General features: G+C 43.7%; 1 protein-coding gene across 3 annotated transcripts in view, besides 2 other annotated features; it reads left to right on the plus strand.

The window, feature by feature from the left end:
- CHRNB3 (cholinergic receptor nicotinic beta 3 subunit) overlaps positions 1-9,811 on the plus strand; it is a 40,042-nt gene extending 30,231 nt beyond the window's left edge. For all 3 annotated transcript variants that reach the window (NM_001347717.2, NM_000749.5, XM_011544390.3), the window contains 3 exons: positions 2,998-3,107; positions 4,071-4,953; positions 8,888-9,811. In NM_001347717.2, the coding sequence (NP_001334646.1) occupies positions 2,998-3,107; positions 4,071-4,953; positions 8,888-9,022 (1,128 nt within the window). In that variant the 3' untranslated portion in view covers positions 9,023-9,811. The remainder of the gene's footprint in view (positions 1-2,997; positions 3,108-4,070; positions 4,954-8,887) is intronic.
- Positions 14,159-14,348: an enhancer, noted in NCBI's record as "active region_27313". NCBI's record gives its function as "activates an Ori minimal core promoter by ATAC-STARR-seq in GM12878 lymphoblastoid cells {active_cell/tissue: GM12878}" and the evidence as "EXISTENCE:reporter gene assay evidence [ECO:0000049][PMID:35858748]".
- Positions 14,519-14,588: an enhancer, noted in NCBI's record as "active region_27314". NCBI's record gives its function as "activates an Ori minimal core promoter by ATAC-STARR-seq in GM12878 lymphoblastoid cells {active_cell/tissue: GM12878}" and the evidence as "EXISTENCE:reporter gene assay evidence [ECO:0000049][PMID:35858748]".

A 23,901-nucleotide genomic window follows, 5' to 3' on the forward strand; every position in this document is an offset into this window, starting at 1 on the left:
AAGATTAATGGAAAATGGATCTTAGACTTAAGTCGAGGCTGGTGGGCCACGAGGTCAAGAGATCGAGACCATCCTGGCCAACATGGTGAAACCCCATCTCTACTAAAAATACAAAAATCAGCTGGGCATGGTGGTGTGCACCTGTAGTCTCAGCTACTCGGGAGCCTGAGCCAGGGGAATCGCTTGAACCCAGGAGGCAGAGGTTGCAGTGAGCCGAGACTGTGCGACTGCACTCCAGCCTGGCGACAGAGCAAGACTCTGTCTCAAAAAACAAACAAACAAAAAACTACAAAATTTCTAGCAGAAAGCATACGAGAAAATCTTCGTGACCCTGTGTTAAGCAAAGATTTCTTAGATATGACACAATCCATAAACAATAAAACTGATAAAATGAACTTTTAGAATTTCTGACTTGTGAAAGACATTAGTAAAAGGAAAAAAAGACTGAGAGAAGATGTTTGTAAATCAAATATTTGACAAACCACTTTTATTCAGAATGTATAAAGAACTCTAAAAACTCAGTAAGAAAACAAACAACTTGATTAAACATTATGCACTTCACCAGATAAGATACATGGATGGCAGATAAACACATGAAGATATTCATGATTAGTCATTAGGAAAATGCATATTAAAAAGCACAATGAATCTGGGCTCAATGGCTCATACCTGTAATTCCTACACTTTGGGAGGTGAGGCAGGAGAATTGCTTGAGCCTAGGGGTTCAAGACCAGTCTGGGCAACATAGGCAGACTTCATTTCTACAAAGCAAAACAATTAGCCGGGTGTGGTGGTATACACCTGTGGTCCCAGCTACTTGGGAGCCTGAGGCAGGAGCAGAAGGATCACTTGAGCCCAGGAGGTTGAGGCTGTAGTGAATCATGATGTCACCATAGCACTCCAGCCTGGGAAAAAGAACAAGATCCTGTCTCAAATTAAAAAAACAAAACAAAACAAAAAACAAACATGAAGAATCTAAATGCATTGCTAAGTAAAGAAGTCAGAATTGAAATGTTATGTTGATTCCATTTACATGACATTCTAGAAAAGCTGAAATTATAGAAACAGAACAAATCAGGGATTTCCAAGGGCTGGAAATGCAGGAGGGGTTGATTACAAAAGGGCAGCACCTGGGAAATATTTTGGGCAAAAAAACTGTTTTGGCATCTTAATGCCTGCAGTTATTATACAGCTATTTGCATTAATAACTGTAAACCAAAGAGTGAATTTTATTGTAAGTAAATTTTTACGAAGTGCATAAAGTGGAATTGAAACAAACCACAAATGCTACTGTAAGTGAGTTCCCTCCAAGATCTCTGAGACTCAGACCTACCAATGATAGTAAGAGTCTCCTTAGCAGGAGACAAATTATTCCTAGGAAGGAGATTATATTTGTTCTTCGAAATTGGAAGAGGAGGAAGAAAAAAAGAGAAGCCCATGAGCACCAAGTAAACATGGTGAATACTTTATTATTGGGCTCTTAAATTGTCAGTTTCATATGCGTGATTTCCCATAAATATCATGCCATTGGCCGGGCACGGTGGCTCACACCTGTAATCCCAGCACTTTGGGAGGCCGAGGCGGGCAGATCATGAGGTCAGGAGATCGAGAGCATCCTGGCTAACACGGTGAAACCCCGTCTCCACTAAAAAATACAAAAAAAATTAGCCGGGCGTGGTGGCGGGAACCTGTAGTCCCAGCTACTCAGGAGGCTGAGGCAGGAGAATGGCGTGAACCTGGGAGGCAGAGCTTGCAGTGAGCCGAGATCACACCACTGCACTCCAGCCTGGGCAACAGAGCGAGACTCTGTCTCAAAAACATAAATAAATAAATAAATATCATGCCATTTTGTTATACTTCAGATTCTAGCTTTTTAAAGGCCCATACATCTTAAACTTTGTTTTTTGGGGATCAAGTCTCAAAAATGTTGTCTAAGATAGACAATGTTTCCTCTGGGGTGTGGAGTTCCATCATTTGTCAGGCATCATGCATATTTCAGTATTTTACCATCTAGTGACATCATCCATCTGCTGACTCCTGATGTTTTAATGACAAAGTTGGCATCACTGGGCTCCGGGAAGCGTCATGCTGGGCATGCCCTTCTAACTCTCTGAACTCCCGCATCCTTACTCACCTATCCACACGAGGGGCTGTAGAATAGAAAATTTTAATTTTCAGGTCAGATTTCCTATGATTCTGGACCCTAAAATCTTTGTAATAGAGTCCACTCTGCTGTGATTGGGTCATCCATACATCATCCTCTTGACCTTCACAGTCTGATCAATTCATGGTCAGGTTTATTTATCTGGATTCATCAGCCCCTGTAAAACATGCCATGTGATTTCATCCTTATGAAGAAAAATGTGTAAGCGCCTGGAGGCTAACGATATTAGGAATGCAATTTAAAATTATAATTGGGAGCTCCAAAAATAAATTCAGATTAAAACTTAAAAGAAAATGCTGGGAAAACATTTTTTTATTGGATACAAGTTCTAATGTGATCAAGAAGAATTCATGGAAAATGGATGTCTCATATTAACATAGCAGGTGGATGTTCATCTAAGCCTCTTGAGTGGTGTTTAAAATCACTTGTACCAGTTAGCATGTGATTTAAGTATCACTGGACCCACCCTCCTAGAATAAACTGAATTAGACACATCATTGCTTTTCTTTTGTTTGTTTGTTAAGAGAAAATAGGATGAAAAGATAGATCATGAATTAGTGGCGTTTGTTGTAGAGCCTCTTCATGGTGAGGCAGATACAGTAATTTTGGAAATATGTAACATGCAAAGTGTGTGGGCCTGGGTGAGATCAGAGGCCAGGCTGGCTCAAGGTGAATCCTGTACTGAGTCCCCAGTAGGGTCACGCAGTCCAACCGGGACAATTTCCTTTTCTTAATAAAACAGTGGCTTGGTAAAGCTAACAGAAACTTGAAGATTTCAAGATCTAATACATTGAACTTTCGGAATAAAATCACAGTGTACTAATTTCATGCAGGAATGGACAGACCACAAGTTACGCTGGAATCCTGATGATTATGGTGGGATCCATTCCATTAAAGTTCCATCAGAATCTCTGTGGCTTCCTGACATAGTTCTCTTTGAAAAGTAAGTATCACATTGTTTCTTACTTATGGGGAAAAAAATAAATTTTTTAAAAAGTGAAAAAAAGGCTGGGCGCGGTGGCTCACGCCTGTAATCCCAGCACTTTGGGAGGCCGAGGCGGGTGGATCATGAGGTCAGGAGATCGAGACCATCCTGGCTAACAAGGTGAAACCCCGTCTCTACTAAAAATACAAAAAATTAGCCGGGCGCGGTGGCGGGCGCCTGTAGTCCCAGCTACTCGGGAGGCTGAGGCAGGAGAATGGCGTGAACCCGGGAAGCGGAGCTTGCAGTGAGCCGAGATTGCGCCACTGCAGTCCGCAGTCCGGCCTGGGCGACAGAGCGAGACTCCGTCTCAAAAAATAAATAAATAAATAAATAAATAAATAAATAAAAAATAAAAAGTGAAAAAAAGGAAAGTAAGTATCACAGAAGAAAACTATTTTGGTCAGATTAACACTAGGAATAGAAAATTCTGATTCAGGCAAAATACTTAAAAGAAATATTCAATTTTAAATAAAAAAATTGTTTATTAAAACAGTTACCTGGCGTTGTGGTAGAAAAGTCCTAAAATAGGGCAGGGTGTGGTGGCTCATGCCTGTAATCCCAGCACTTTGGGAGGCCGAGGCGGGCAATTCATGAGGTCAGGAGTTCGGGACCAGCCTGGCCAACATGGCGAAACCCTGTCTCTACTAAAAATACAAAAACTTAGCTGCGCATGGTGGCCGGTGCCTGTAATCCCAGCTACTCAGGAGGCTGAAGCAGGCAAATTGCTTGAACCCGGGAGGCGGAGGTTGCAGTGAGCCGAGATGGCGCCACCGCACTCCAGCCCGGGCGATAGAGTGAGACTCCATCTCAAAAAAGAAAAGAAAAGAAAAGTCATAAAACAGAAATAGTCAATGCTGGGAAAAAGAACAAAAACTAGCAGGTGCTCCACCGACTGCTAAGGTGAAACTGCTTTGATTGCAGTGCTGACGGCCGCTTCGAAGGCTCCCTGATGACCAAGGTCATCGTGAAATCAAACGGAACTGTTGTCTGGACCCCTCCCGCCAGCTACAAAAGCTCCTGCACCATGGACGTCACGTTTTTCCCGTTCGACCGACAGAACTGCTCCATGAAGTTTGGATCCTGGACTTATGATGGCACCATGGTTGACCTCATTTTGATCAATGAAAATGTCGACAGAAAAGACTTCTTCGATAACGGAGAATGGGAAATACTGAACGCAAAGGGGATGAAGGGGAACAGAAGGGACGGCGTGTACTCCTATCCCTTTATCACGTATTCCTTCGTCCTGAGACGCCTGCCTTTATTCTATACCCTCTTTCTCATCATCCCCTGCCTGGGGCTGTCTTTCCTAACAGTTCTTGTGTTCTATTTACCTTCGGATGAAGGAGAAAAACTTTCATTATCCACATCGGTCTTGGTTTCTCTGACAGTTTTCCTTTTAGTGATTGAAGAAATCATCCCATCGTCTTCCAAAGTCATTCCTCTCATTGGAGAGTACCTGCTGTTCATCATGATTTTTGTGACCCTGTCCATCATTGTTACCGTGTTTGTCATTAACGTTCACCACAGATCTTCTTCCACGTACCACCCCATGGCCCCCTGGGTTAAGAGGCTCTTTCTGCAGAAACTTCCAAAATTACTTTGCATGAAAGATCATGTGGATCGCTACTCATCCCCAGAGAAAGAGGAGAGTCAACCAGTAGTGAAAGGCAAAGTCCTCGAAAAAAAGAAACAGAAACAGCTTAGTGATGGAGAAAAAGTTCTAGTTGCTTTTTTGGAAAAAGCTGCTGATTCCATTAGATACATTTCGAGACATGTGAAGAAAGAACATTTTATCAGCCAGGTGAGTAAACTGGTATTCCTGATAATGCTGCCGTAAAGGTAGGCCAAAGACAAATATTTTGACATCTGTTTACAATAAAATATTGTCATGGTTTAAATGTGACGTTATATAAGACATGCTTTTTATACATATAACATTTAAAGCAAGCCCTGACATAACATAGCGACATTAGTATGAATTTTTAGGAAGTAGTTCACAAAAACATAAGGAGCAAAAGTGAAGCAACTGTTGATTAAGCAACTGTTGATTAAGCATTGTTTCTTATAATTCTATATTAAATAATTCAATTACACATTTTAAGTTGGTTAGCCTGGTTTCTGGTAATTTATCTTTCATTTTTCATTGGATGATAAATATGTTCAACCACAGTATTTAGAAATAAAAGATCAGAAAGAATGAGATTTTTAAATTAATATAAAATGTAGTGTTACAACAGATATTTTGGTGAGGAAAGAGGATGTGGTTATTTAGTTTACAGATTTTTTTTTTTTAAGTGTGAGCCAGGCACAGTGGCTCATACCTGTAATCCCAGCACTTTGGGAGGCCAAAGCGGGTGTATCACTTGAGTGCAGGAGATCGAGACCAGCCTGGACAACATAGTGAGACCCTGTCTCTACAAAAAATTTAAAAATTAACTGGGTGTGGGTGGGCGTGCTTGTCCTAGCACTTTGGGAGGCTGAGGCAGGAGGATGACTTGAGGCCAGAATTGAGACCAGCCTGGGCAATAAAGCAAGACCCTCATCTCAGAAAAAAGAAAAAGAAGATAAAAGAGAAGGAGAAAGAAAAGAAGTAGCGTGGGAAGAGTGTGAATTTCAGACTGAAAACAGTCCTGGGTTCAGATCATAATCTGAATGACTTAAGACAAGTTACTTAACCTGAGCCTCAGTTTTCTGAATCCTACCTTGAAAAGTTTGTGTGAGGATTAAATGACATAAAATACAAACATGCACAGTGTACCCAGCACACAGGGGCTCAGCTCCGTTGTATAAGCAGTCAACAAGTGTGAATTCTCGCCTTTCTAATTATCATCCTCATCCTTCTTCTTTTTTTTTTTTTTTTTTTTTGAGAGGAGTCTTGCTGTCACCCAGGTTGGAGTGCGGTGGTGTGATCTCAGCTTACTGCAACCTCCGCCTGCTGGGTTCAAGCGATTCTGCTGTCTCAGCCTCCCAAGTAGCTGGGACTACAGGTACACACCACCACACCTGGCTAATTTTTCTTGAATTTTCATTAGAGATGGGGTTTTGCCATGTTGGCCAGAATGGTCTCGAACTCCTGACCTCGGGTGATCCACTGCCTCAGCCTCCCAAAGTGCTGGGATTACAGGCATGAGCCACCGTGACCAGCCCATTCTTCTAAACAGTCCTTCCCCAGTGGAATGAAAATATTATTTGACGTGCAGATATTAAGCGTAAAAAGTGATCTGTTGGGCCAGGCACGGTGGCTCATGCCTGTAATCCCAGCACTTTGGGAGGCCAAGGTGAGTGGATCACGAGGTCAACAGATCAAGACCATCCTGGCCAACGTGGTGAAACCTGATCTCTACTAAAAATACAAAAATTAGCCAGGCGTGGTGGTGGGAGCCTGTAGTCCCAGCTACTTGGGAGGCTGAGGCAGGAGAATCACTTAAACCTGGGAGGCAGAGGTTGCAGTGAGCTGAGAGTGCACCACTGCACTCCACTCCAGCCTGGCGACAGAGCGAGACTCCATCTCAAAAAAAAAAAAAAAAAAAAAAAAGTGATCTGTTGCCTAAAGCAAGTTACATATTTTCAATTTATATGAGAACTTCAATTTATAGGGTTCAAATATTTTACTCTAAAATTGATGAAAATTAGTGCCAAGAGCCTGATCCCGTAAACAAACTGATGAAAGAATTTTTTTTTTTTTTTTTGAGATGGAGTCTCGCTCTGTCACCGAGGCTGTAGTGCAATAGCTCGATCTCAGCTCACTGCAAGCTCCACCTTCCGGGTTCGTGCCATTCTCTAGCCTCAGCCTCCCGAGTAGCTGGGACTACAGGCACCCGCCACCACGCCTGGCCAATTTTTTGTGTTTTTAGTAGAGACAGGGTTTCACTGTGTTAACCAGGATGGTGTCGATTTCCTGACCTCGTGATCCGCCCACCTCGGCCTCCCAAAGTGCTGGGATTACAGGCCTGAGCCACTGCACCTGGCCAAGAATTTTTTTTAGAAATATCCTTCTACATTTTCTCTTGCGTTCACAGACACTGCCTCATATGTCCTCTCTCTTAACAATCTGTCATGTTTTTCATCCACTTAAAATTGTTTTTAAAAGCACTAGAAAAGTGACTGCTGCTAGACAAGAAACATTCAGCTGTCAAGTTGGGAGAATTTTTTTGTTTGTTTCTTAACATCTTTTAAAAACACTAATACAGGGCCAGGCGCGGTAGCTCACGCCTGTAATCCCAGCACTTTGGGAGGCCGAGGCGGGCGGATCACGAGGTCAGGAGACGGAGACCATCCTGGCTAACAGGGTGAAACCCTGTCTCTACAAAAAATACAAAAAATTAGCCGGGCGTGGTGGCCGGCGCCTGTAGTCCCAGCTACTCGGGAGGCTGAGGCAGGAGAATGGTGTGAACCCGGGAGACGGAGCTTGCAGTGAGCCAAGATCATGCCACTGCACTCCAGCCTGGGCGACAGAGCAAGACTCCGTCTCAAAAAACAAACAAACAAACAAAAAAACACTAATACAGGCCGGGTGTGGTGGCTCACGCCTGTAATCCTAGAACTTTGGGAGGCCGAGGCGGGTGGATCACCTGAGGTCAGCAGCTCGAGACCAGCCTGGCTAACACGTTGAAACCCTGTCTCTACTAAAAATACAAAAATTAGCTGGGCATGGTGACGAGTGCCTGTAATCCCAGTTACTCGGGAGGCTGAGGCAGGAGAACCACTTAAACCCAGGAGGTGGAGGTTGCAGTGAGCCAAGATTGCACCACTGCAGCCTGGGTGGCAGAGTGAGACTATGTCTCAAAAAAGCAAAACAAAACAAAACAAAACAAAAACCTAATACAAAGATTTCTTTTTTTTCCCCAAGACGGAGGACATTTATTTACTCTAGAGGGATGAGGACTCCCCTTCCTTTCAGACTTCCCCAGCCAGTCGTGCCTTGACTTTGTGTTTATGGACCTGTTGCCCACTCTCTGCACCTCCCCTTCCTAATAAAGGGGACTCAGTTTCTTGTCTCCTTCATGAATTCCTGTCTTGTCCTGGTCGGTTCTTCTCCTTGGCAGCACCCTTCCTTCTGGAGCTGCAGCACAGGTGGAGTGGAAGAAAAGAAAGCCTGTGACATTTGGCCACAAAAACTCTTAAATTATAAACTTGTGATTCTTTTCATACGTGTATCAGGAAGCACCCTAGTAAGATATACTGGCTTCCTAAGATATGCTCTGTCTCCTGGGTTCAAGCAATTCTCCTGCCTCAGCCTCCCAAGTAGCTGAGATTACAGGTGCCCGCCACCATGCCCAGCTAATTTTTGTATTTTTAGTAGAGAGGGAGTTTCACCATGTTGGCCAGCTCGTCTCGAACTCCTGACCTCAGGTGATCCCCCCACCCCCAGGCCTCCCAAAGTGCTGGGATTACAGGCGTGAGCCACCGCACCTGGCCTATAGTGGCTCTTTATTCATGTAAAAATCAGACTTTTCCTATTCTGATCAGGAATGTTGACATATGCATACAGAATTCTATTGTTTCTATTTTCCTTCTTCAGTGCTGATGAGAGTGTTCCAAGCTGCTTCTTTTGGGCACAATTAGCGAAGTCCCTGAAAGAACCTGAGCCTGTAGTGTGGTTGGGACATTAGATGCATTTTGAAAACTTAAGTAAATGCTATAAATCTGAATGTTACTCTTTTTTAATCCCTTGAGATGAATACAGAACAGTTGCTCAGTGTCTTGAGTGAAAGGCATCTTTTTCTCTTTTGCAGGTAGTACAAGACTGGAAATTTGTAGCTCAAGTTCTTGACCGAATCTTCCTGTGGCTCTTTCTGATAGTGTCAGTAACAGGCTCGGTTCTGATTTTTACCCCTGCTTTGAAGATGTGGCTACATAGTTACCATTAGGAATTTAAAAGACATAAGACTAAATTACACCTTAGACCTGACATCTGGCTATCACACAGACAGAATCCAAATGCATGTGCTTGTTCTACGAACCCCGAATGCGTTGTCTTTGTGGAAATGGAACATCTCCTCATGGGAGAAACTCTGGTAAATGTGCTCATTTGTGGTTGCCATGAGAGTGAGCTGCTTTTAAAGAAAGTGGAGCCTCCTCAGACCCCTGCCTTGGCTTTCCCAGACATTCAGGGAGGGATCATAGGTCCAGGCTTGAGCTCACATGTGGCCAGAGTGCACAAAAAGCTGTTGCTACTTGGTGGAGGAACACCTCCTAGAAGCAGCAGGCCTCGGTGGTGGGGGAGGGGGGATTCACCTGGAATTAAGGAAGTCTCGGTGTCGAGCTATCTGTGTGGGCAGAGCCTGGATCTCCCACCCTGCACTGGCCTCCTTGGTGGTTTTGTCTGAGCTGCAAACTGGGGCCGTGTTATGCTTGTTAGCAATGGGCCAGGCAAATCTCAACAAGGGTTTGGGGATTACACTGGCAGGATAGCTGGCACTGCACACTTAACAATAACACAGATTCCAAGTTGCCTGGCCTACCGAAGCAGGTGTTATTCATGGTTTATTCCCAGCATGATAAGGCTTTCAGATGGTGAAACTGGAGCCCACTGTGAGCTGTGACTTCCTTTAAGGTCATGCATACCAAAATAACTCACAATAGAAACAAAGCCCTTTGCTACCAGAAGTGGATTCATTAATACCCATTATCTTTTCCTAGTAAACTAGTGTACAGAACATTCTCTGATTAATGGTTTTTGATGTCACCTCGTCTAATCGGATCCATACCAACACTATCCCCTAGGCTCCACCTGCTGTTTCCCTGTCTCCTGGCACCTGGGTGGGCTTCACCCCCACCCACCATCATTCCTTCTCTAAGACTCCGAGGGGAGTCTGCTCAGGTTCTTCTTGCCCTCCAAAATTGCTGCCTCTGCCCAATCCTTCCTGAATTTTAGCTTAAAGCAATTTTTCTCTCTGCCCAGTTATAAATCCAAATCCCTTTCTGGAGTACTTTTAGGCATGGCTCTTGCAAGCAGTTTGCAATCTAGGCTGGGTGGAGTGGCTCACACCCATAATCCTAGCACTTTGGGAGGTCAAATCAGGAGGATTGCTTGAGGCCAGGAGTTTGAGACCAGCCTGCTCTCTACAGCAAGACCCTGTCTCTACAAAAAATTTAAAAAATTAAAATTTTAACAATTTTAGTGATGTGTGCCTACAGTCTCAGTTACTCAGGAGGCTGAAATGGGAGGATCACTTGAACCCAGTAGTTGGAGGCTGCAGTGAGCCATGATTGCTCCACTGCACTCCAGCCTGGGCGACAGAGCAAGACGCAGTCTCTTAAAAAAAAATCTAAGTGGCTGGGCGTAGTGGCTCACGCCTGTAATCCCAGCACTTTGGGAGGCCAAGGTGGATGGATCGCAAGGTCAGGAGATCGAGACCATCCTGGCTAACACAGTGAAACCCCATCTCTACTAAAAATACAAAAAATTAGCCAGGTCCATGCCTATACTCCCATCTACTTGAGAGGCTGAGGCAGGAGAATCACTTGAACCCGGGAGGCAGAGCTTGCAATGAGCCGAGATTGCGTCACTGCACTCCAGCCTAGGCAACAGAACAAGATTCCATTTAAAAAAAAAAAAATCTAAGCATGAAACACCTTCACATATTGTTACCACTGATGTATTTCGTCTTATTAATGCCATTTAGTTTGTGCTTTCTGTATAACATTCTCTTGTTCCTTCACCTTTTTCCCTTCACCTTTTCCCCCACTTTTTCAGCCTTGGCCGAGTTTGTAGTTTGTCCATTCCTTCTTTGCCTTTAATGGCTTGAAAGTTACATGTCCGCTTCTATTAATTTATTAATAAACATTCAACTTTTTAAATCAATGTTGAGAATTAGTGTTTGTGGCTGCCACTTTCTACACAAAATAATTTCTTTAGGACCCTCACTTCCCCTCACCTTCATTTCACTTTTATCACTTTCCACATTTTCTTTAAATCATCCAGAATTTTAGTTCTACATGATTAATTTTTATATTATGTGTTCCTTTCCCTAAGAACCATGTATTCACCACACATTTTGTCCATAACCACATGACAAACAATTTCATTTATTTGTTCATCACTGTTTTTTATCTTAAGCATTCCTCTTTTCCTGCTTCATTTCTTCCATTATTTCAGAAGAGCATGTCTTCAAGTAATTCTTTCAGGAAATATTTGAGTGTGGTAACCTTCTTGAACCCTTGCTTTTCTGAAATTGTAATTTATTTTGCCTTCACATTTAAATAATGGATTGGCTGGGTGTGGAATTCTGGTTCAAAATCATTTTCCCTCGGAGCTTTGAAAACATTATTGTATAATATCCCGTGCTCTAGATGGGAAGCATGCTGGGGTTGATTATTATTCCTCACTCGATAGGTCCCTCTAGGGTTTCAGTTTCCCAGTCAGTAATAAGAAGTATCGACGAAAAGAGTCAAACTCTGCAAAATATTTGAGGAGATGTATTCTGAGCCAAATATGAGTGATCATGACCTGTGACACAGCCCTCAGGAGATCCTGAGGACATGTGCCTAAGGTGGTCAGGGCACAGCCTAGTTTTATACATTAGGGAGACAGGAGACATCAATCAAATACATGTAAGGTTTACAGTGGTTCTTTTTTTTTTTTTTTTTTTTTTGAGATGAAGTCTCGCTCTGTCACCCAGGCTGGAGTGCAGTGGCTCCATCTCGGCTCACTGCAAGCTCCGCCTCCCGGGTTCACGCCATTCTCCTGCCTCAGCCTCCGTAGTAGCTGGGACTACAGGCGCCTGCCAGCATGCCCAGCTAATTTTTTGTATTTTTAGTAGAGATGGGGTTTCACCGTGTTAGCCAGGATGGTCTCAATCTCCTGACCTCGTGATCTGCCCACCTTGGCCTCCCAAAGTGCTGGAATTACAGTCGTGAGCCACCGCGCCCGGTCTACAATGGTTCTATCTGGAAGGGCAGGACAACTCAAAGCAGGGGGGTTGGAGGGGGTTTCCAAGTCATAGGTAGATTTTAAAATTTTCTGATTAGCAATTGGTTGAAATAGTTATTATCAATAGAAAGGAGTGTCTGGTTGACAATGAGGGGTTGTGGAGATCAAGGTTTTATCATGCAGATGAAGCCTCCAAGTAGCAGGCTTCAGAGAGAAGAGATTGCAAATGTTCCTTATCAGACTTCTGATCAGTGTTGATGTTAATTCTGGTTGGCTTTTCCTGAATTCCAAAAAGGAGGAGGGTATAGTGAGGCATGTCTGAGCCCCACTTCCATCATGGCCTGAATAGGTTTTTCAGATTAATTTTGGGCTGCCCTGGCCAAAAGGAGGGGACCATTCAGATGGTTGGGAGGCCTTAGAATTTTAGTTTTGGTTTATAGGAGTTATGATTCATGCATGACCTTTGAAGCTCTCCCCTGCTCTAAATTTCTATATTTTGGATAATTTTACTGGAGCTTTCACAGTTTTTAAACCACACAACTCAGTGTAACTTTGTTCCTTTGGGAAAATTGAACCTGCTTTATCAGTACTTCAGGATGGGATTTGCAGGAATACATTGTGATGAAAATCAAGGATTCTTTGCCTTAAATTATTGATGGGATTGTGGATTCAAAGGGCAAGCCACTATTCCTCTCCTTTTTATTGAGAATACTATTGACTTTAACACACCACTTAACTTTAACTCTTAGTTTGCTAGGTAAATGATGTCAATCTAAAATAATCAAAAGGGTCAGAATCTAGTTTAAGCAGTTTATTCAAGTGCAAAGTTTGAGGACAACCCTCCCAGGAACCACAGATTCCAAAGAATGGAAGTCAGCGTTCCAAAGTTAGAAATTTGGGATCACTTTTATAGACAAAGCTTAGGGAAGTTTAACAGAATTTTAGCCTCTTTCTATATAAGGCTTAATGCATAGTCACAATGTTCTCATTAGTCAAGGTGGTTCTTTTCTTTTGGAAAAGGTATATTTAACATTCTACACTGAAGATGGAACTGTCATGGGGTCCCCGTTTGGGACACCATCTGGCCTGAGTTAGGTACAGGATAACAAAGGAGGCAGTTAATCTATCACAATGATCAGTGTTTGGAAGAGGGAGGTCTGGTCTTTCCTAGTTAATGACAGAACAAGGACAATGAGAAAGAGAGTTAAGCTATAATCTAAGAAACAGACGTGACAACAACATGCCATATAACTCAGATCACAGCCACATCTCTCTCAAAGCTTAAAGCGTTTGGGGGTTTCCAACAGCTTTTAAGTTTTATTTATTTTCACAATGATTATACTAATTTCAGAAAAATGTGTTTAGATATGAATTCAGTTTCAAAGTTTGAAAAAATGCCAGTATGAGCCGGGGGGGTGGCTCATGCCTGTAATTCCAGCCACATGGAAGGCTGAAACAGGAGGTTCACTTGAGCCCAGGAGTTGAAAGTTTCAGTGACCTATGATTGTGCTGCTGCACTCCAGCCAGGAGCGGCAGAGTGAGCCCTCATGTCTAAAGCAAAAACAAAACAAAGTTAAAGGAAAAAAAAAAAGGAAATACCAGCATGAAACACCTTCTACAGGAAGCTTCTTACTGATCAGACACAGATTCAGAAAAGATTAAGCCTTCACATGTGTACATGTAGCCAAGGTGGGAGATAATAACAGCTTCAAACACAGAAAAGAACAAGTATTTATATAACATAATAATCCTAAGGAAGTAACCACAAATGATCACTCTAAGGCAAAGAAATTTTAATTCCAAATGTATAGCAAGAAAAATCTATGTGCAAAATCTGCCAATTAATCCAAGAAGTGGAAGTTGCAAGAACGATTTCTCTCTGTATCACACTGCAGCAGGATGAGCCGCAGACAAAACCTCTCAGACACCGAGATGTAGAAGCAAAGGCTTTATTCAGCTGGGAGCATCGGCAAGCTACTGCCTTAAAATCCAAGCTCCCCGAGTGCACAATTTCTGTCCCTTTTAAAGGCTCACAACACTAAAGATTTCACGTGAAAGGGTCATGATTGATTTGAGCAAGCAAGGGGTACGTGACAGGGGCTGCATGCACTGGTGGTCAGAGAGAAACAGAACAGGGCAGGGAGTTTCACAGCGTTCTTCTATACAATGTCTGGAATCTATGAATAACATCGGTTTCTAAATTATGAGTTGATTTTTAACTACTGGGTTTAGGCCAGGCAGGCCCAGGCCTAGTTTCAGGCCTGGCGCCAGGCTGCCTGTCTTTGGTTTTACTTCCTTGTTGTTTTTTTTTTAAAACAGGTACTGAGTATAAAACAATGTGAGAGGATCTCTCTCTTCCCTCAACACGTGTGAGTGTGGGACACACGTGTGCAGGCACACACACGGGGGGCCACAGAGAGCTGTCCACATTATGTGCAGCCTTCAGATTTCTGCTCACACACCCCCGCCACTGCTCCTCCTGAAGCCTTCATAGAACACATGGCCCCCACTGGGCTCCCTGTGTTGGAAAGCCAGTGGCATTTCCAGTGTATGCTGTATGGTTTAGAATATCATTTCTATTATTAAGTGAACCTCATTTTCTTAGCTATACCAGTATATTCTCCATCATACCCCCAACAATATCTAATAGAGCGTAGTCCACAGTCAAGGCTTACTTGATATTTGTTGATTAATTAAACCAGATACCAGGAATTTTGGATGAAGTTGTCTAAAATGGGGACAAATGTGTACTCTTGCTCAGCCCCTCCAAATATTTCTAGCTCTGTGTGTGTAATTTTCAGTATTCTCCTTAGAAAAACATTTTCTTACATTAAAACAATCTCCAAAATACTATTATCATACTTAGCAAAATTAGTAATTCTACATTCAAGTTCCCTGCCTCAAAAATATCCCAATTTGATATTTAGCTTGTCTCAAATAGGATTTGACCCAAGACCATTTGTTATGCCTGTTAAATCTTTTTTTTTTTTTTTTTTGAGACGGAGTCTTGCTCTGTCGCCCAGGCTGGCACGATCTTAGCTCACTGCAAGCTTTGCCTCCCGGGTTCATGCTATTCTCCCGCCTCAGCCTCCCGAGTAGCTGGGACTACAGGCACCTACCACCACGCCCAGCTAATTTTGTTTTTGTATTTTTAGTAGAGATGGGGTTTCACTGTGTTAGCCAGGATGGTCTCGATCTCCTGACCTTGTGATCTGCCCACCTCAGCCTCCCAAAGTGCTGGGATTACAGGTGTGATCTTAAATCTATTTTAATCTCTTTCTTGGCACTGATTTGTTGAAAGGACCAGATCCGTTTTCCCCAAGTATATCTCCCTATTTGGAGTTTGTCTGGTTGCTTGCTTCTGGTGGCATTTACCTTATTCCTTTGTCTCCTGTATTTTCCTGTAAACTGAAAGTTACATCTGTATCCCTAAACATATTTCCCCTGGGACAGAGTCTCACTCTGTCACCAGGCTGCAGTGCAGTGGCATGATCTCGGCTCACTGAAACCTCCACCTCCCAGGTTCAAGCAATTCTCCTGCCTCAGTCTCTTGAGTAGCTGGGATTATAGGCTTGTGCCACCACGCCAGGCTAATTTTTGTATTTTGAGTAGATATGGGGTTTCCCCATATTGGCCAGCTGATCTTGAACTCCTGGCCTGAAGCAGTCCTCCCCCCTCAGCCTCTCAAAGAGCTGGGATTACAGGCATGAGCTACCGCACCCAGCTCAATCTTTTTGTTAGGGATGTGCTATAGATGATAACATGGTGTTCATATTATACCATAGTGAGGAGGGAGGCTACTTGGCTATCTGATCATTAGAGTTAAGATTAATCCCTAGATTAAGGTAATGCAAGTCTGATCTCTCCACTGTATCCAGTGGTAAATCTTGTGGTCTAGCCTGAGGCCACAACACACAGCAAGGTTACAAAAACTCTTAGCTATGATCTTGGTCCCTTTGGAGATGGTGTATAGCCAGCCAACATTGGAACATAGTAATTTCCAGAGAGTAACATTCTTATGTTGGAATGGACCTTTCGGTTGTGTCAAAATTCTTTCTCTGAAGCACCTACTGTTATCTACTTAAATTAATTCATTTAATTAACACAGTGATTACCATATATGTTTAACCTGACATGTATTTCTTCTTTGTATTAAAACTTTCTGTTCAGTATGTCAATCAAGTACCAGTGACCATAAAAGTAACACTATGTCACTGGCTCATGGACATAATCTTGGGTTTGGGAAAACTAGGTGAGAGCAGCAATCCGTGCCCAGATGTGGACTGTCACCCCTCCAGGCAGTGTTGATGGCCATGGGACAGGGCAGCCCGGCCTGCTGTGGAATTAGACATGCTCGTCTGAATGCTCAAGGACAGTCTCAGCTCTGGGCATCAAGAGGAGAGTCAGCCAGGCCAGAAGATCACAGTGTTCAAAAGGAAACAATAGAAGGATGAAAACTGTGACATTAACTCAGGCAAACTTAAAGAAACAGCCCTGTGAGGAAAGCGCTATTATCATTCTTGTTTTACAGATGAAGGTTCTCTTCATCTGCAAAATTCCATGAGGTGGGAGTGGGGAAGGATTCACCCTACTTTACTCGGGCACCCCCAGTCATTGTGGCAGCCAAAACACCCCTTTATACATTTCCAAACACCAATGGGAAATTGTATGAGAGTGTGTGTGCGTGTGTGTGTGTGTGTGTGTGTGTGTGTAGAATGGGTGCGATGGCATCTCCAGTTGAGAATAACTGGTATCTAAATGTATTCAGGATGCTATATAAAAATACCATAGATTGGGTGGCTTCTAAACTGCAGAAATTTATTGCTGACAGTTCTGGAGACTGGGAAGCCCAAGGAAAGGTGCTGGCAGGTCTGGTGTGTGGTAAGGGTTGCTTCCTGGTTTATAGACAGCCCTCCTCTCCCTGAGTCCTCACATGGTGGACGGGGTGAGGGAACTCTCTGGGGTCTCTTTTATAACGGCACTAATCCCATTCACGGAGTCTCCACCCTCATGACCTAATCACCTTCCAAAGGCCCCACCTCCTAACATCATCATATTGGAGTTTAGGATTTAAACTTCTGTGTTTGAGCCAGGCACTGTGGCTCACGCTTGTAATCCCAGCACTTTGGGACACCGAGGTAGGTGGATCACTTGAGGTCAGGAGTTCAAGGCCAGCCTGGCCTACATGGTGAAACCCCACCTCTACTAAAAAATTTTTAAAAATTAGCCAGGCATCGTGGCAGGTGCCTGTAGTCCTAGCTACTCAGGAGGCTGAGGCAGGAGAATCGCTTGAACCTGGGAGGCGGAGGTTGCAGTGAGCCGAGATCGCACCACTGCACTCCAGCCTGGGCAACAGAGTGAGACTCTGTCTCCAAAAATAAAATAAAATAAAATACACGTATGGGTTTAGGGAGAGCACACATTCAGTCTACAGCAGCTGGATATGCTGAAGTACTGAAACGATCGCTCCAAAGTCTAAAGGGGATGGAAGAGGGGAGATGTGCACATGTGTGCCCCCGTTCTTATTGCCTTGTTCCTGAAACCGCCTTTGTAAAAATTATAACAGTGAGAAAAGAGATCTGACCTAACCCACTCCATCTTGCCTTTAACCTCCAAGCTGCCATTGTTCATCCCTGGACGTAGGCCAAACTAACTGGGAGAAATTTAGTTTATAGTTTTAACTTTGTTGTTGTAGTTGTTGTTGTTGATCTATTTTTATTTTTCTTTGAGACAGGGTCTTACTCTGTCACCCAGGCTGGAGTGCAGTGGTGGGATCACAACTCACTGCAGCCTTGACTTCCCAAGCTCAGGTGATCCTCCCGTTTCAGCCTCTCCAAGTGGCTGGGACCACAGCGAGGCACCATCACGCCCGGCTAATTTTTGTATTTTTTTATGGAGATGCGGGTCTCCCTGTGTTGCCCAGGCTGGTCTCGAACTCCTGGGCTCAAGCACCCACCTGCCTCGGCTTCCCAAAGTGCTGGGATTACAGGTGTAAGCCACCACGCCCAGCTTGATTCTTTCCCTTTTTCCTCTCCAGATGTTCACCTTCTCTTATGTAAAATGCACCATTCGCAGCCGGCCTGTCCCTCTCCCTACTCGCCCCACCCCCACCTCTAAGGACGTATATAAATGTTAAACCTCCTGAAATCCTCTTATGAAAAACAGCCACAGGTGTGTCCCACAGGTGCGGTGTTTTTCCCAGACCCGCCCTCAAGTGGCTTAATAAACCTCGATGATCAAGACACGCCTCAGTCCTTCATTTTGGTCATCATTCTTTCTCTGAAAAATCAGATGATCAAGCACCTGAGGCCACATCCAGCACATGGCTTTGAGGGCTCCCGAATGGAGCTGGGTGAGGGCACAGAGGTGTCTGCGTGTCTTTCCCAGCCAACTCCAATCTGGTTCATGAGCCCCCAGGATGACCTACCCTGGGCATCGCCCCTCTGCACTCAGCATCTGCTGATGTCAGTGGTTTTTCCTCTGCCCACTTTCTGCTGCCTCTGCCATGGGAAGTGTGACAGGGTGGGTGGGGCAGAGCAGTGGGAAGAGGAAACCTGGGATGCTTCCATCTGGCCTGTGACTTGTCTTTCTCCAAATGTCGACCACGCAACTCAGCTTGCCACCTCCATGACTGGTCTCATTGTGAAAACTTGTATACATTAGATATTTTTATCCTTTATGCTCATTAAAATAAACTTTCTCAGGTTTTGTTTTGGTTTTTTTTTTGGTTTTTTTTTTTTTGTTTTTTGCCAACTGATAGTCCTGATCTTCCTTTTTTCTTTTTACTTATTTATTTATTTTTTGAGACGGAGTCTTGCTCTGTCGCCTAGTCTGGAGTGCAGTGGTGCCATCTAAGCTCACTGCAAGCTCCGCCACCTGGGTTCACACCATTCTCCTGCCTCAGCCTCCCAAGTAGCTGGGACTACAGGTGCCCGCCACCACGCCTTAGACATGAAATGAAACTCATAGATTATTTAACCCAAGTCTTATTTTATCTCAAAAGATAGAGTAGTTTGCCCACAATCATACAGCTAATTAATAACAAATCCAGCACTAGAAAACAAATCTCCTGACTCTTTAACCATGTCTCTACCTCCTGTACAATTCATCCTCTTCCATGAGATGAGAGTAGAAAAAGAAGTAAATCAATTGAGATGGTTCATCCTGTCCCCGCCCCAACTCCAGGCTCACCACCACAGGACAGGGGTGGCAGGGGGACGCCCGAATTAGGGAGAGTGGCTTGGGGGGCAACTTTCGGTGTCAGTAGTCAGTAGGGAGAAGAAGGCTTTGAAATGTAAACCGTGTCAGGAAGAAGAAGAAGCAAACTGCCCACTTATTTTAGGAAGATCAGGGGCCAGGCGCGGTGACTCACGCCTGTAATCCCAGCACTTTGGGAGGCCGAAGCGGGCGGATCTGAGGTCAGGTGATCGAGACCATCCTGGCTAACACGGTGAAACCCTGTCTCTACTATCATTGATTCTATAGTTCAGATACACAGACAACCCCGAATGCATGTGCACACATGTGAACACACACACACAGAGACATTAATGATGAAATCATAATCAAGAGTATTTCAAGTCAATTCTAAAAGTTAAAAATCTCAGGCCAGGCGTGGTAACTCATGCCTGTAATCCCAGCACTTTGGGAGGCCAAGGCCGGTGGATCACCTGAGATCAGGAGTTCGAGACCAGCCTGGCCAACTTGATGAAACCCCATCTCTACTAAAAATGCAAAAATTAGCTGGGCATGGTGGCATGCATCTGTAATGCCAGCTGCTCGGGAGGCTGAGGCAGGAGAATCGCTTGAACACAGGAGGCGGATGTTACGGTGAGCTGAGATCGCACCACTGCACTCCAGCCTGCGTGACAAGAACAAAACTCCAGCTCAAAAAAAAATTTAAAAAAAAATAAAAGTTAAAAATCTCAATTAACAAAGAGATCTTTAATGTTTTACTCCCTTCATGCCCCTTTATGCATTTTCAATCCATGCTTTCCTTTGGTTCTTCTGAACAAATGCTGTGATTCCCTTTTTTTTTTCCCCAATGCTTAGTTCATTTCTTCTTAAAAGTATGTTGCTAGTTTGTTTACTTGTAAGTACAAGATCCTCTCTCCCCTAAGGCTCACTGAGCAACTTCTGGAAAGCTGAACTGGGCAGTCTAAGGCATGCTCAAGTAGAAAGGTATGTGTTAAGAAGTCAGAATGGGGTTTCCTTGACCCTGGCTGGGAGCACTCTCCTCCCATCTTCCTGGGATGCAGTTCCTTTTTCTATTTTATTTGTTTTATTTTGTGACAAGGTCTCATTCTGTTGCCCAGGCTGGAATGCAATAGCATAATCATAGCTCACTGCTACCTTGATCTCCTGGCCTCAAGTAATCCTCCCACTTCAGCCTCACAAGTAGCTGGGACTGCAGGTGCCAGCACACCCAGCTAATTTTTGTATTTTTTGTAGAGACAGGGTTTCACCATATTGCCCATGCTGGTCTCAAACTCCTGGACTCAAGCCATCCCTCCGCTTCAGCCTCCCATAGTGCTGGGATTACAGGCATCAGACACTGCACCTGGCTGCAATGCAATTCTTCTTTCTTTTTTTTTTTTTTTTTTGAGACGGAGTCTCGCTCTGTCGCCCAGGCTGGAGTGCAGTGGCGTGATCTTGGCTCACTGCAAGCTCCACCTCCCAGGTTCACGCCGTTCTCCTGCCTCAGCTTCCCTAGTAGCTGGGACTACAGGCGTCCGCCACCACACCTGGCTAATTTTTTGTATTTTTAGTAAAGACAGGGTTTCATCGTGTTAGCCAGGATGGTCTCAATCTCCTGACCTCGTGATCCGCCCACCTTGGCCTCCCAAAGTGCTGGGATTACAGGCGTGAGCCACTGCACCCGGCCAATGCAATTCTTAAAAGTCTCGTTTTTATATCTGATGGGCGATTAATATACAGAACATATCAAGAACTCCTACAACTCAACAATTCAAAAAACAAATAACCTGATTTTCTTTTTCTTTAGATGGAGTCTCACTCTGTCGCCAGGCTGGAGTGCAGTGGCACAATCTCCGCTCACTGCAACCTCCACCTCCCGGGTTCAAGTGATTCTCCTGCCTCAACCTCCCAAGTAGCTGGGACTACGGGTGCACACCACCACGCCCAGCTAATTTTTGTATTTTTAGTAGAGACGGGGTTTCACCATGTTGGCCAGGATGGTCTCGATCTCTTGACGTCGTGATCTGCCTGCCTCGGCCTCCCAAAGTGCTGGGATTACAGGCGTGTGCCACCACGCTAGGCCACAAATAACCTGATTTTTAAAATGGGTGAAGGACTTAAATAGACATTTCTCCAAAGAAGATATACAAATGGCCGGTAAGCACATGAAAAGATGCTCAACATTGCTAATCATTAGGGAAACACAAACCAAAACCACCACAAGACACCACCTCTCACCCATTAGGATGGCAACTGCCAAAAACCCCAGAAAATAACAAGTGTTGGTGAGCATGCCGAGAAATCAAAACCTTTGTGCGCTGCTGGTGGGAATACGTAAAATGGTACAGCACTGTGGAAAACAGTATAATGATTCCTCAGAAAATTAAAAATAGAATAACCATGGGTACAAAAAAATAGAAAGAATGAATAAGATCTAGTATTTGCTAACACAACAGGGTGACTAGTAAAAAATAATTGTACATTTAAAAATAACTAAAAATATAATTAGATTGTAACACAAAGGACAAATACTTGAGGTAACAGACACCCCATTTATAATAATCACCAATGTGATTATTACACACTGCATGCCTATATCAAAATATCTCACATAACCCATCAATATATACAAGTCCTATGTACCCACAAAAATTAAATATTAAAAAATAGAATAACTGTCTGATCCAGCAATTTCACTTCTAAGTATATACCCAAAATAACTGAAAGCAGGGACTCAGAATTATTTGTAAGCCCAAGTTCATGGCAGCAGGCAAAAGGTAGAAGCAACCCAAGTGTCCATTGACAGGTGAATGGATACATAAAGGGCAGTAAATACAGACAACGGAATATTATTCAGCCTTGAAAATGAAAGAAATGTTGACACATGCTACGATACAGATGCACCTTGAAGCTGTTACATTATGTGAAATAAGCCAGTCACAAAAGGACAAACACAATATGATCCCCCTTATATGAGGTACCCAGAGTGGTCAAATTCATAGAGACAGAAAGTAGAATGGGGGGTTGCCTGTGAGGTAGGGGAGAAGGAGCAGTAACTGCTTACTGGGTACAGGGTTTCAGTGTTGCAGGACAAAGAGTTCTGGAGATGGATGGTGCTGAAGGTTGTACAACAACATGAAGGCATTATGGGCTGGGCACGGTGGCTCACGCCTGTAACCCCAGCACTTTGGGAGGCCGAGGCGGGCAGATCACGAGGTCAGGAGATCGAGACCATTCTGGCCAACATGGTGAAACCCTGTCTCTACTAAAATACAAAAAATTAGCCTGGCATGGTGGTGTGTGCTTGTAGTCCCAGCTACTTGGGAGGCTGAGGCAGGGGAATAGCTTCAATCCAGAGGCAGAGGTTGCAGTGAGTGGAGATTGTGCCACTGCACTCCAGCCTGGCGACAGAGCAAGACTCCGTCTCAAAAAAAAAAAAAGGAGGGATTTAATGTCATTGAACTGGATGCTTAAAAATGGTTAAGATGGGAAATTTTACGTTATGTGATTTTACCACAGTTAAACAAATTTTAAATGAAATTAAACATTGATTGGGCTTAATAATAAAAAATAAAGTATTGCGTAACAACCAACCCTCTATAAAGACAGGAAGATAAAAGGTAGGTACTACAATCACCAATATTATAGGGAATAAAAATGCTCTAAAATAGAGTCATTCAGGCTGGGTGCGGTGGCTCATGCCTGTAATCCCAGCACTTTGGGAGGTTGAGGCAGGTGGATCACTTGAGGTCAGGAGTTCGTGACCAGCCTGGCCAACATGGCAAAACCCCGTCTCTACTAAAAGTACAAAAATTAGCCAGGCATGGTGGCGGGCCCCTGTAATCCCAGCTACTTGGGAGCCCGAGGCAGGAAAATCGCTTGAACCCGAGAGGCAGAGGTTGCAGTGAGCCGGCATCATGCCACTGCACTGCAGCCCAGGCGACAGGGAGAGTCTGTCTCAAAAAAATAAAGAAAGAATAAAAAATAAAATACAATCATTCAAATTCAAGACCTCTGCCTAATGTCCCACAGAGAACCTCATGCTCCAGCAGAAAAAAGACAAAGAAGAATTCACATGGTAATTATAAAAATTACGAGAACCAACACAATGGTAATTATACCATCACAAAAATTATACTTCAAGACTCTGTAAAAGAGAATGTTGCTAATATTATGTTTTAAGGAAACAGCATTGCAAGGTAAAATTGAAGTGTTTACATACGGACAAAGACTAGAAGGGAAAAGGCACACATGAAATTATTTCCTTTGTTAGATTTGATTTATTGTTTTCTGCCTTAAAATACATGTTTAAAATTGTTATAATATTTATACGACAAATAAGAAGATAATCAGAGTACGATAAAACAGAATTCCCAAGCTTCTCCCTCTCAGAAAAGGAATTGCTCCAAAAGCTCCAAGATTATAATTCCTTATATAAGAAATATGCACGTGGCATTGGACCCAACTTAAAACTAAAAACCTAAATGAAATTTAAAAAAAAGAAATAACTGAGGCCGGGCACTGTGGCTCACGCCTGTAATCCCAGCATTTTGGGAGGCCGAGGCAGGCAGATCACCTGGGGTCAGAAGTTCGAGACCAGCCTGATCAACATGGAGAAACCCCATCTCTATTAAAAATACAAAATTAGCTGGGCATGATGGCACATGCCTGTAATCC

This window comes from Homo sapiens, chromosome 8 (assembly GCF_000001405.40).
Source record: "Homo sapiens chromosome 8, GRCh38.p14 Primary Assembly".
In the NCBI taxonomy this organism is placed as follows: domain Eukaryota; kingdom Metazoa; phylum Chordata; class Mammalia; order Primates; family Hominidae; genus Homo; species Homo sapiens.